The 12,854-nt window shown below is 51.5% G+C and overlaps 1 protein-coding gene across 9 annotated transcripts in view; it reads left to right on the forward strand.

Annotated features, from left to right (window-relative positions):
* The window catches only part of LRRC74A (leucine rich repeat containing 74A), a 43,897-nt gene extending 32,766 nt beyond the window's left edge, over positions 1-11,131 (forward strand). For 6 of the 9 annotated variants that reach the window (NR_169572.1, NR_169573.1, NM_001385106.1 and 3 more), the window contains 4 exons: positions 1,520-1,666; positions 6,795-6,902; positions 8,183-8,265; positions 10,952-11,131. Coding sequence is in view for 7 of the 9 variants with exons in the window: in NM_001385106.1 (NP_001372035.1) it covers positions 1,520-1,666; positions 6,795-6,902; positions 8,183-8,265; positions 10,952-10,976 (363 nt within the window). In the remaining 2 variants the exon portion in view is untranslated. Of the gene's footprint in view, positions 1-1,519; positions 1,667-6,794; positions 6,903-8,182; positions 8,324-10,951 lie in introns of all 9 variants that reach the window. The other 3 variants (XM_017021035.3, XM_047431012.1, XM_047431013.1) reach the window with 1 other exon arrangement.
* The last annotated feature ends 1,723 nt before the right edge of the window (positions 11,132-12,854 follow it).

The following is a 12,854-nucleotide window of genomic DNA, read 5'->3' on the forward strand; positions in this document are numbered from 1 at the left end:
CCTCTCCCAGGCAGTACACGTTGGAAGGCATGGACCCAGGCACTGCCTTGGTGTGTTTGAGAGAACATTAGAAATGTTCTCTCAGGCGCGGTGACTCACGCCTGTAATCCCAGCACTTTGGGAGGCCGAGGCGGGTGGATCACCTGAGGTCAAGAGTTCGAGACCAGCCTGACCAACATGGAGAAACCCCGTCTCTACTAAAAATACAAAATTAGCCGGCCATGGTGGCGCATGCCTGTAATCATAGCTACCTGGGAGGCTGAAGCAGGAGAATCACTTGAACCTGGGAGGCAGAGGTTGTGATAAGCCAAGATTGCACCATTGCACTTCAGCCTGGGCAACAAGAATGAAACTCCATCTCAAAAAAAAAAAAAAAAAGAAACATAAAAGAAATGGTGCTGTTTAGGCCCTAGATGGCCCATAAACCCGTAAGCTGTGACCACAGTGGCACTTAATAAGCCTACCAGAACAAATAGGTCTGAATTAGCCTTTTTTTTTTTTTTTTTTTTTTTGGGTGTTGGGGATGGAGTCTCACTCTGTCGCCCAGGCTGGAGTGCAATGGCATAGTCTCGGCTCACTGCAACCTCTACCTCCCAGGTTCAAGCGATTCTCCTGCCTCAGCTTCCTGAGTAGCTGGGATTACAGGCACCCACTACCGCACCTGGCTAATTTTTTTGTATTTTTAGTAGAAACAGAGTTTCACCATGTTGGCCAGGCTGGTCTTGAATTTCCGACCTCAAGTGATACACCCACCTTGGCCTCCCAAAGTGCTGGGATTACAGGCTTGAGACATCGAGCCTGTATTAGCCTTCTCCTTCCCTTTTGTCAACAATGCCTCCATAACTCTGAACAGTATAGAAATTCCTCTTTTGTAGATGCTCCTAGAACTTTCTCTAGAATCTCTACAAAGCCTTCTGCCCTTAAACAGGGGTTTAATTCTTTGAAAGGGCAAAATGTACTCCGAGCCACATCTGAGGAATGAAGCAGGCTGACCAAACTGGTGGAGCCCAGGTTTGATCAAACACTATTTCACAGGACACATTTTCTCCCATGTCCTACAAACCAGCTCTGAGGGCACTTCCAGAAGGGGAAGTTTCCATTTTGTCCCTGGTCACTTATTGGAATCAGGGATCCTCTTCCAGGGCACTTTCTCTGACAAACAACACTCACGCAGACATGGACATTTCAGGGCTTTGTTTAAGGACTATCTTGCCACTCCAAAGCTGTAAATCATCTGTCAGATGCAGATGCCATTTGAGAGTGGAGCTGAACTGGCAGCAGGTGACAAGCCACCAGCACTCAACAAAAACATCCCATCAAAATTACCCAGGAAACTTACAAGTCAATTTACAAGCTCTAAAATACCCGAACTATCCCAGTCCAGGAGCAGCACTGAGAACAAACTGGAAGAGACAAAACTTCCTGACTTTGGCTTGGGTGGAAGGGGTAGGGTGCACTGGTTGGGCAGGCACGATGGCAGTGCCCTCATCATCATGGGTCCCCTCTCTCCCTGTCACAGAACGTGCTGGTGTCCGAGCAGTTCATGAAAACGTTGGACGGAGTGTATGCCGTTCACCCGCAGCTGGACGTGGTATTCAAGGCAGTACAAGGCCTCTCTCCCAAGAAAACCATCTTCTTGTTGACAAACCCCATGAAACTGATCCAGGTGAGCTCCTGCCTTCCTCTCAGGGCCTCCAGGGAGCCCTGGGGAAAGCTGGCCAATGGCTCCAAATCAGTTTCCAGACTTCTCCCTCCCCACAGTGTCTGTACAACCCTCTCTGATAAGGAATGTCTCAGTCCCTTGGACAGCAGACATGGAATGAATATTCTCCGTGGCTACCAGATCCCTCAGCAGTGCTTCCTGATCTCCAGAGGAAGGGAAGGGCTGAGATCTAGCTGAAGGGGGCAGGTGGACAGAATGGATTATCCCACCCGGACTCCTCCACCTGCTAGCGTATGACCAAGGGCAAGTTACTAAAGCTCTCTGGGTCACAGTCTCTTCACCTGCAGAATGGACACAACAGTAGCCACCCAGTAGGATTGCTTGGAAAATCAAATTATGTCAAATGCATGAAGTGCTTAGAAGGATGCCTGGTATAGAACAAGCACCTGCTTATTATAGACATAGTTTCTTTCCAACTGCTGGTAAGGATATCAAGACATCCCTGCGGTCAGGATGGCTATTTGGCAGCTCCAGCCAAAGAGAGACACTTCAGTCCTTTGTTTCTAATGGTAACTTGCCCCCGACTCATGTTTTCTTAGATTATCTCTGGCAATCACAGGAGGCAGAGGTAAAGCTGTTCTTTCCAACAGCTGGTAAGGATGTCAAGACATCCTTGTGGTCAGGATGGCTATTTGGCGGGTTCAGCCAAAGAGAAACACTCGAGTCCTTTGTTTCTAATGATAACTTGCCCCCAACTCATCTTTTCTTAGATTAGCTCTGGCAATCACAGGAGGCAGATGTAACAGTGGAAATACAAAATCAGAGAATAGTAGCGCCGAAAGGGATGTTATTGCTCCTCTAGTCCCATTGTCTTGCAGAACAGTGCTCAGACCCTGCTTTGGTGTTTCCACAGCGGGCCTCTCACCCTGCAGTGGGGGCAAGGAGCCTGCTGCTGGCCGCAGAGCGGTTACTACCTGGGGAGCAGGCGTGGGGATGCTGCTCTGCCAATGCACGTTCTGCAGGGTGTGTCCCCGGGCTGCTTCCTGCCCCCAGTGGGTCTGCTCTGTGCCTCAGTTTCTAGAACTAAATAAAAGAGCTCCCACATGAAAATTGTTATGTGAAAAATTCTAGAAGACAAAGCGGTGTCCAGTATTTGTACAGGTAAGATGACTTCAGATGGAACCAAGGCAAACCTGTTTTGCAAGGGGAGCAGGGTGCTCCAGTGAACAGGAATGGAGCTGTCTGATGCAAAGTGGGGACCCCACCTCTTGTTTTAAAGACACACAGAAAAAGAATCTTGGAGACCAAACATGCAGAGTCCAACATAGCCCTTCCCCTCAGGGGATCAACAATCTCATTGGAAAGATGGGATGGCTACAGTGACGACCCACAGAACATAGAAAGTTTCATATGGCCAGGCACGGTGGCTATGCCTGTAATCCCAGCAATTCGGGAGGCCAAAGCGGGTGGATCACTTGAGGTCAGAAGTTTGAGACCAGCCTGGCCAACATGGCAAAACCCCATCTCTTCTAAAAATACAAAAATTAGCCGAGCGTGGTGGCAGATGCCTATAATCCCAGCTACTTGGGAAACTGAGGCACAAGAATCGCTCGACGCTTGAACCCAGGAGGCGGAGGCTGCAGCGAGCTGAGATTATGCCACTGCACTCCAGCCTGGGCAACAGAGCGAGACTCTGTCTCAAAAAAAAAAAAAGTGTCATGTGATAAATAATAAATAAGTGACAGAGGCAGAAAATGTAGTCAGAATCCAAATAAGAGATCAACGTAGGATTCGGCAACCAGAAAAGGATGACTTCTTGGAAGAGATGGGAGTGGGTAAGGGCCTTGAAGAATGTCAAAGATTGAGGTGAGCCACAGAGAGTGGGAGGGTGTTCCGGCGAGAGGCTCCTGCCAGCAAAGGTGCTGAGGTGGAACCGCACACAGCATGTTCAGGGGACACTAACACATGACTCCAGGTTCATAGAGGAGCCCAAGAGGCAAAGCTGGCAAGGGAGGCTGGGCTGCAAGTGGCAGCCCTCAGATTTTAGGCTCTGAGTTCGAGTTTGATTCCATCGGGAACAGGGGGCCGGTGAGAGCTGCTGGGCAGTGGATGTGATGCGAATCCAGCAGGATTGAGGAGTTCTGGCAATGGGGAGTGAATTGAAGAGGGTAAGAAAAAAGAGTAGGAAACCAAACAAGCACACTATTGTAGCACTCTAGATGTGGAATGATGGCTTGGCTGAGAATAACAATGGAATTGAAGGGCAGATGTAAGAGCTATCATTATGGAAACATCTCTAGGACTTGGCGAATGGTTGGATATGTGGGGGTGTGTATTGCATGCATGTGAGTGTGTGTGTGTGTGTGTGTGTGTGTGTGTTGGGATAGGAAGGCCTGTGATGATAAAAGAAACCCAAAGATAACCCAAGATTTCAAGGCCAAGGGACTGAAGGAAAGATTGCCAGAGGCAGGGAAGTGCAGATGGGGAAAGTGCCTGCCACCTGGCCCTTACTGTCTCTCCACGTTCTAGCCCCACTGGATTGCTTCCGGATCCTCTTTGCATCAGCTCTCCCTTCACTGCAGGCCTGTGTACGGTCAGGGCAGGTCCTTCCACCTGGAACACTTTTCTTCTTGCCCTCTGGGTCTCGCTCATTCCTACCCGTTCTCAGGTCTCTACACAATGTCACTTCCTGGGGAAACCCTTCTTGGATTCCCTGGTCAAGAGCGAACGCCCTTCGTGTTCCCGAAGCCCTTGGCTTCACCCTTGCATTGCAACCTGTGAACTCCTCCAGGGCAGGGCTGTGTGGGGTCTTAGTAGTAGCACCTACCAAAGTAGCTGGGCAAGGTTCTTAGTTGCTGGCCACAGAATTTACTCCAACTAGGCTAAGCACACGGGGGTTTATTACAGGAGAGAGATCAAAGAAATGTCAGGAGGGCTGAACAAACAGACTCTTGTTAGATTCCAGAAATGGCTCTCAAAGCACCCCAACTGAGTTGCCAAGAGTTGCTGCTTCTGCTATAATCAAGAAGCTGCATGATTGCGGAATGCCCCGCTCAGTCATGAAGCAACCACAGCCGCTGCCCACCACCTGCCTCTCTCAAATCAGACACAAGCCTCACACTTACATCTCAGGCAGGTGCTTGGCAAAGGCCATCCATTCTGACCCCCAGCTGCAAGGGGACTTGGGGAATGTCGCTTTCAGCTTTCCAGGCTCTGCATGGATGAGAAGCCTGCTGTGAAGAAACAGCAGTGGGTGCCGAGGGCTCACCCATGGCATCTGCCATAGCGCTCAGCAGCAGTGTGCTGCTTCAGAGCACGAGGTGCACTTTGGATGTGTTGATTGAAGTGCCGGTGGGGTGTCCAGCAGCTGTGGAGGATGGAGAACTGGAAATGTAGCTTTGGGAGGCACTCCGGAAGGGTGGGAGGCCGTGCACTCCAGAAAGGGAAGTGTGGGGAACAAAGAGCAAGGGCCCCAGGGCTGAACCCTGAGGAAATGCTTCGTGAGAAGGACGTTGCCAGAAATAGCTATCGATACAGTAGGACGCTGTCTGGGAGTTTCTGAGAGTGAGAGGAAGGGGGGGGGGGGGTGGCGGGGGGAAGGGGGGTGGCGGGGGAGAAGAGAAAAAAAGTACTTAAAAAGGACCCAAAAGAATACTGTAATATCGTAAGGCCGGGTGCGGGGAAGAGAAAAAAAAATACTTAAAAAGGACCAAAAAGAATATTGTAATATTGTAAGGCCGGATGCAGTAGCTCATGCCTGTAATCCCAGCACTTTGGGAGGCTGGGGTGGAAGGATCACTTGAGGTCAGAAGTTCAAGACCAGCCTGACCAACATGGTGAAACCCCATCTCTACTAAAAATACAAAAATAGGCTGTGCATGATGGCGCATGCCTGTAATCCCAGCTACCCGGGAGGCTGAGGCAGGAGAATTGCTTGAACCTGGGAGGCAGAGGTTGCAGTGAGCCGAGATCGAGCCACTGAACTCTAGCCTAGGCGACAGAGCGAGACTCTGTTTCAAAATAAAAAAAAAGAGAGGAAAAGAATATTATAATGACATTGAAAAGGTGTTCATATGTGAACAGTGGGTTCTGTAAAACAATAGGTTTAGTAGAAAGATGAGAGATTAGATAGATAAATGTTATACAGATAGATAGAAGTTAGACAGATTGATGTCAGATAGATAGTTAAAAAGATAAAAGGGTCCACACCAAGATGTTACCTCTGTGTGGTGGTATTGGATTTATGGGTGATTTTTAAAATTTTCTCCTGCTAATCTAAAATTGCCTTGCAACGTGAGTAATAATACACTTGATCCTTGAACAACACAGGTTTGAACTGTGCCATTTCATCCACTTTTATGTATTTGGATTTTTTTCAATAAATACAGTCAGCCCTTCGTACCTGTGGGTTCTGCATATGCAAATGTGGATCCAAAATACAGTATTTGAGGAATGAGAAACCCACGGATATGGAGGGCCTGCCTTTTCATATTGGTGGATTTTGGTATCTGAGGGGGTCCTGGAACCAATCCCTTGCACATATCAAGGGATGACTATATTTTTTAAATGAAAAAAATGAAATATCCTTTTAAAAATATTCTAACAAAGTATGTTTCCATATGAGCATTGAGGTGAAACTGTGAGAATCCTAGGAATTCGTAGAGCCAAACTGTCACATTATACAGCTGTGATTTAACCTTTTGATCTCTGAACATCCGCGCGCCATCCACAGCACACCATCTATACCAGTGTTAACAGATTGCGTTTGTAGATAATGATCACTGTCCCATCCTCGTGGCACTGCGGTGCCTGAACAGCCTTGACTTCAGTCCTTCCAACTTTGGAATGGAGGGAGCGTCTGTGCAGTGCCAAGGGGCTCCTAGAAGCATGGCGAGCACACAGGAATCATCCCGGCATGCACCTTTGCCATGCCTGGTGGGTCTGCACTCGGCTCTTGGTCTTAGGGGACACCCAACACCCGGGAGACGCAGGCTCCTCACCTTGGCCTTCTGCCCTTTTTAGCCTTGTTAGGCCTGGAAGCATGGGCCGCTCTTTTGTGGGAGGGAAGGGGGACCTGCGATCGTTGTTACAAGACCAAGTGTTTGCTCCTGGTCTCTCCTGCTTCTCTCAGAGCTATGCAGACCAACACAAAATCACGATCGTGGACTTCTTCAAGAGCTTGAACCCCACTGGGACAATGAAGATGTCTGTGGATGAGTTCCAGAAAGTGATGATAGAGGTGTGCTGGGTCCTAGTGGCAACAGGCTGTGTGTGAGTGTGAGTGTGAGTTTGTGTGTCAGAGAGAGGGGAGAGGAGGAGAAGGAGCAAAAGAGCTTGTGAGCACTTCCTAGAGCTTCCTGGGACAGGCTATGGGACACTCCCCTCATTTATCTAGACCCAGAGGGGAACCTAAGACCTCCCTCAACCCCTGCTGAAGTCATTCCTGTGCTGTGGCTTGATGCCACCAGTGACCCGAGATGCCACTCAGAGACACATGTTCTATCTTGAGGTTTTTCTCCCCATTGCATTTCACTACTGGGCAGATAACAAAGGGAGTGAGAGAGGAGACCACATCCCAAAGTCCCAACATTTCCACCTTAGGAATCATTTTCCTGAAATCTCACATTCCTCTCGCTCCCCATGTAATAAAGGTACTGAAAGCCCCCTGTAATGCATACTTGAAGGGGTCTATCATCAGAGCGTCCCAGGAGAGACTTGGGCCCTGCAGGAATAGGACTCCAGAGGAGAAGTTCCCGGGGCCCAGGCAGGGACGGATAAGGCAGTCGGTGCCCGGTGCCCAGGCCGGGGGTGAAGAGGCTGGCCAGGACTCAGCAGCAGGAAGTGAGAATGAACTTCACAGGATGCAAAGGAGAGTCCTGTTCCCTCCCCCGGTCACTCGCTCCACCTGACTCTGATCTCCTCCTGCCTTATTGCCCCCAAAAAGGGGAGGCCCTTTGGAGTCTGGACAATGACCCATGGGCAGGGAGCTTTTTCCAGCCCCTCCATGCTGTGGAATCAGTTTCCCCTGAGCTCTCAATCAGATGCCCTCCATGGTCCCAAGAGTGAGGCATTGTGTGGGGTGTGTGTGTTGGGGGGGGTGGTAGGTGTGTGGGGTGTGTGTGTGTGTGTGTGTGTGTGTTGGGGGGGTGGGGTGTGTGTGTGGTAGTGTGGGGGGGTGTGTGTTGGGGGTGGGGTGTGTGTGTGCATGTGGTAGTGTGTGGGGTGTGTGGGTGTGTTGGGGGGTGGGGTGTGTGTGTGTGGGGGGTGTGTGTTGGGGGGATGGGGTGTGTGTGTGGTAGTGTGGGGGGGTGTGTGTGTTGGGGGTGGGGTGTGTGGTAGTGTGTGTGGGGGAGTGTGTGTGTTGGGGGGTGGGGTGTGTGTGTGTGTGGTAGTGTGTGTGGGGGTGTGTGTTGGGGGGGTGGGGTGTGTGTGTTGGGGGGGTAGTGTGTTTGGGGGGGTGTGCCTAGGGAGGGGTGAACAGAGTTCTATTAACTGCACATGTTCCATCCACCTCCTCAGCAAAACAAGGTCCCCCTGAACCAGTACCAGGTCAGGGAGGTGATAAAGAAGCTCGATGAGAAGACAGGCATGGTGAACTTCAGGTCAGCCCAGGCCCCGCGACGATCCCCGTTCTCTGCAAGGGGCCCTGGCTGGGCTGATGTGAGCTCCTCCAGCTTTCCTGTCTACACTTTATTACTTGAGGCTTCACCCACCTGCCTGTTCCCTGCATGCCAAGTCTGGGCCCCACTGTCTACCCCCCTTCTCATCCCCAATTCACTTGTTCAGCGAAACTTGAGCCCAATCAGGCGCTGCTGGCTGCTGGGCCGGATGCTGGGGATGCCAGCGGGAGGAGCCGGAGCCCACACTCACAGCCCAGGAGGAGGGCAGGCAAGGGAGCAGATCTTTATGCCCTGGTGAGGTGAGAGGAGCCGTAGGGGTGTGTACCAGGCGCCCTTGCAGCCCAAAGAGGAAGTGTCGCTCAGGCGGGAGGCGGCAATGTTTCAGCCGAGTCTGGCAAGACGGAGACCTAGACAGAGGGCGGAGGCACACAAGCACCAAATGCTAACGGTGTGTTAGGGACTACAGGTCCCGCTACTCTGCCATGGCTTGGCAAGTGAGGGATGCTGTATCTTAGACTGAACTCCTTGAAGAGAGAGGACCGGTCCATGATGACGGTGATGCCAGTAAGCAACCCATAATAAGTCCCCGCCACATGCCTGTCCTCTCCACTTGCCCAATAGGCACGCTCTGCAGCCTCACGGTGCCCCATGGCAATGCTGCCATCACCCCACTTAGCAAGTGATGAAACAGAGCTCTAGAGAAGTGCAGCAAAGAAGCCAAGTTCACCGGGTGCAGTAGCCCATGCCTATAATCCCAGCACTTTGGGAGGCTGAAACAGGAGGATCACTTGAGCCCAGGAGGTCGAGACAAGCCTGGGCAAGATAGCAAGACCCCCGTCTCTACTAAAAACCAAAAAAACACATTAGCTGAACATGGCAGTGCATGCTTGAAGTCCCAGCTACTTGGGAGGCTGAAGTGGGGTGATTACTTGAGCTCAGGAGGCAGAGGCTACAGCCAGCCGAGATTGCATCACTGCACTTCAGCCTGGACGACAAAGTGAGACCCTGTCTCAAAAATAAAAAAGAAAAGAAAAGCAGCCAAATTCTCGCAGCTGGGAAGGGCAACTCTGGCCGAGACTCCAGGCCTGAGGGGTCCACACCTGTTCTGTCTCTCACTGCGTTAGACCTCCCAGCCCAGACGAAGGACACAGTTGCCCCTGCCAAGCCTGGGTCTGCAGCTGAGCTCCCATCTGTCTTGGTGGCCCTGTGGCTGGCCTGTGTTCTTAAGAGCTTCTGTGGAGCAAGGCCTCCCATCCGGCCCTGCCCCACGAGCCTTCTCCCAGTACCTCTTTCCTTCGCTCCACTCAGCGTCGTCCACGTGGAGAAACCGCGATGCAGACAAGAAAGGCAGCCAGACCCAGCTGCAAGCCCTGCTCTGCGGAACAAGGCTGCGGCTGTGCGCGGATCTCCTCTCCCTTTAAAATGAGGAGATAACCGCGGCACCTGGGAGGGGGCTGCAAGGAGTGAGTGGGGGAAATGCACACAGCGGCTGGCACAGGGGGCGTCACTCGGTAGGGACACTGGCATCCAGCAAGAGGGCGCCAAAGGTGGCTCAGGCCCGCCCTGCTACCACCGGGCCTCCCACTCCTGTGCTGCTCAGCGGCCTGTCCCTGTGCCTCCTCACCTGCCCCGTGCCTCCTCACCTGCCCCGTGCCTCCTCACCTGCCCCGTGCCTCCTCACCTGCCCCGTACCTAAAGTGGCACCTCTTGTTCCTGGGGAAGCTGATGGCAAGTGCCCATCTCAGAGGCTCCAGACCAGGTTCCACGTCCAGCAAAGTCCCCAGGTTTGCAGGCAAGGTCACATGGCCATCGAGAGACAGAACTGGGGTCTGGGTCCCTGAGTCTCAGCGCCTGAGCAGGAGCCCTTGGGGCCACTTCAAATTGCCCTTCAGATCACACACTGCCGCTTTATCAGCTGTGATTGAAGAGCAGAGTTTTAATTTTTATTGTTGCATGATCCTTTTCATTTTTGTTTTATGTTACAAATAATATCTCATTGTAAAAATTCTAAACCCGGCTGGGCGCGGTGCTCACGCCTGTAATCCCAGCACTTTGGGAGGCCGAGGCTGGTGGAGCACGAGGTCAGGAGTTCAAGACCAGCCTGGCCAAGATGGTGAAACCCCCACCTCTATTAAAAACACAAAACTTAGTGAAAATTAGCCAGGTGTGGTGGCAGGCGCCTGTAATCCCAGCTACTTGGGAGGCTGAGGCAGGAGAATTGCTTGAACCTGGAAGGCAGAGGTTGCAGTGAGCTGAGATCGCACCATTGCACTACAGCCTGGGTGACAGAGTAAGACTCCATCTAAAAAAAAAAAAAAAGAAAAGAAAAAAAATTCTAAACCCACAGAAGTATAGCAAGGAAAAAAAATGAAGGTCCATTTTTATCTCCCTCCATAGTTTACTCTGCCTCCCCAAAGGGCTCTTGCAAACGATCTTAGGTGCACATGTGCATGCCTTTCCCACATACTTATAAGTGTGTGTGTGTGCACACGCACACACATGCACACATGTGTAGTGGGGGAGATATAATGGTTAACAGCATGACCTCTAAGGCCAGAGATGGGTTTACAAATGGTCTCCTTTGGATTTAAGCCTGTCTTAACATTCTCACCCATCAGCCATGAGGCTGTACGGGTGCTCAGCATCTTTCCCTTACCTTTCGTACCAGTTTCTTGAACACGATGAAGCCATAGCAACAAGTCTGGTCTAGAAAGAAGTCTCGGCGAGAGGAGTCCTCGCAAGTCGGATGGTGGCAGGGAGGAGAGCAAGAGGTGGCTGAAATCTCGATGGACAGATGCTGTGGCAGGGGCTGGGCACAAGCAAATAAAGTCTGGCTTGGTTCTGGGTGTCTTGGGCTGCTGGTGGTGTGCCCGTCACCAGGGGGCCACCTTCTGCTTTTAGTGACCACCAGGGGACATGTCAATGCAGCCTCATTAAGAGCTGCACAGACAAATTGGGAACGTGATGGGGTTGCTAGGCAGCAGGGAAAGAGCCTCAGGGAGCAGGTCAGAGCATGAGGGCAGTTGTCACAGTGATTAGAACCTGAGTCCAGGGGAGACTTCCTTGGTGGGAGGCAGTGACAGGGGGAACAGATGCTGAGGGAATGAGGGCAGGGGCCTTTAAAAAGCAAAGAAATGCTGTGGGGTCACAAGGAGGGAGCCAGGACAGGAGACCAAGAGAGTGGGCATCTCATCCTGGCCACATGACCTTGGATCCCCAGTGGCTCCCCTTGAAAATGGAGCAGCTGAAATAAAGCCTTCCCAGTCCGGTCTAGGAGTCTATCATTCTGCATTTCACCTTTAAATTCCTTGAGAAACTGGGGAGACAGGAACAGCTTAGCGAAGGAATAAAAGGAATAGCCAAGAACAGCATTCACTGATTAAGTGGGTGGAACAGGCACCTTTGGGAGTTTTGATTGATCTTACCAGACACCATTGTAGATTAGCAAGGCAGGAACTTTCTTGTGCCCCTCTGCAGCCCCATGTAGTGCTTGGCACATAGTAGATGCTCAATAAACACCTGTGAAATGAACGAGCACATTCACCGGTGATTGTTTGGGGTAAGTGGTGGAAAGTTGGGAAAGTTTAGGGGGCGAGGGAAGGCTGATATTTGGTAACCCACGCTTTGGCGCAGCAGCGAAGGGTCTAGGAACCAAGTCACTATCTCTTGTGTTTCACTTGGCTTCACCAAGGGTGGAGGTGAACACCAAGACCCCTCTGCACATGCAGCGGAATTATTGGAAATAATTTATGTCCCCACTCATGTGCCGTATTCCCCCCCTTTCTCTTCCTTATTAAAATCTTAGCCTTTATGAGGTTTAGGGCCAGGATAGAAGTTTCTAGCAAGACTCATCCCTCCCTAGTACACATTTCCCCCAGCCTAAGCTCACTGGTGAAAACAGAACTGAGGAGAAGAGTGAGAAGGGTGGGTTACAGCAGCCCTCAGAGGAGCTTCCCCAGCACTGCCGGGAGGAGAGGGAGGTCTTCAAGTCCGGCAGGACCTCAGAACAAGTAGCTGAGCTGTGCCCTGGAGGCTGACTCTTGGTCTGGGCTCCCAGCCTGGCAGAGCTCCCCTGCCCCAAACATAGCATGAGGGCATCAGAGCAGCAGCTCTGTAGGGACCCCCTGGGTTGGGACCAATGACCCCCAGCAATAATCAGTGTGGACTGGTGAGCAATAGGTAGAGGGCCTCTCGGGACAAGTGGGCACCACAGAGCCTCAGTGGCACCACCCTGAGCATGTTCCTGAAATGGAATTTCCATCAACGGGGTGGATTAGGGGCTCAGAGTCAAAATGAGGATGATAAAAGGAATATAAAGAAATGCAAAGGCCAGACGCAGTGGCTCATGCCTGAAATCCAGCACTTTGGGAGGCCAAGGCAGGCTGATCACCTCAGGTCAGGAGTTCGAGACCAGCCTGGCCAACATGGTGAAACCCCATCTCTACTAAAAATACAAAAATTAGCCAGGCATGGTGGCAGGTGCCTGTAATCTCATCTACTCAAGAGGCTGAGGCAGGAGAATTGCTTGAACCTGGGAGGCAGAGGTTGCAGTGAGCTGAGATCACGCCATC

Source organism: Homo sapiens, chromosome 14, assembly GCF_000001405.40.
Source record: "Homo sapiens chromosome 14, GRCh38.p14 Primary Assembly".
Taxonomy (NCBI): domain Eukaryota; kingdom Metazoa; phylum Chordata; class Mammalia; order Primates; family Hominidae; genus Homo; species Homo sapiens.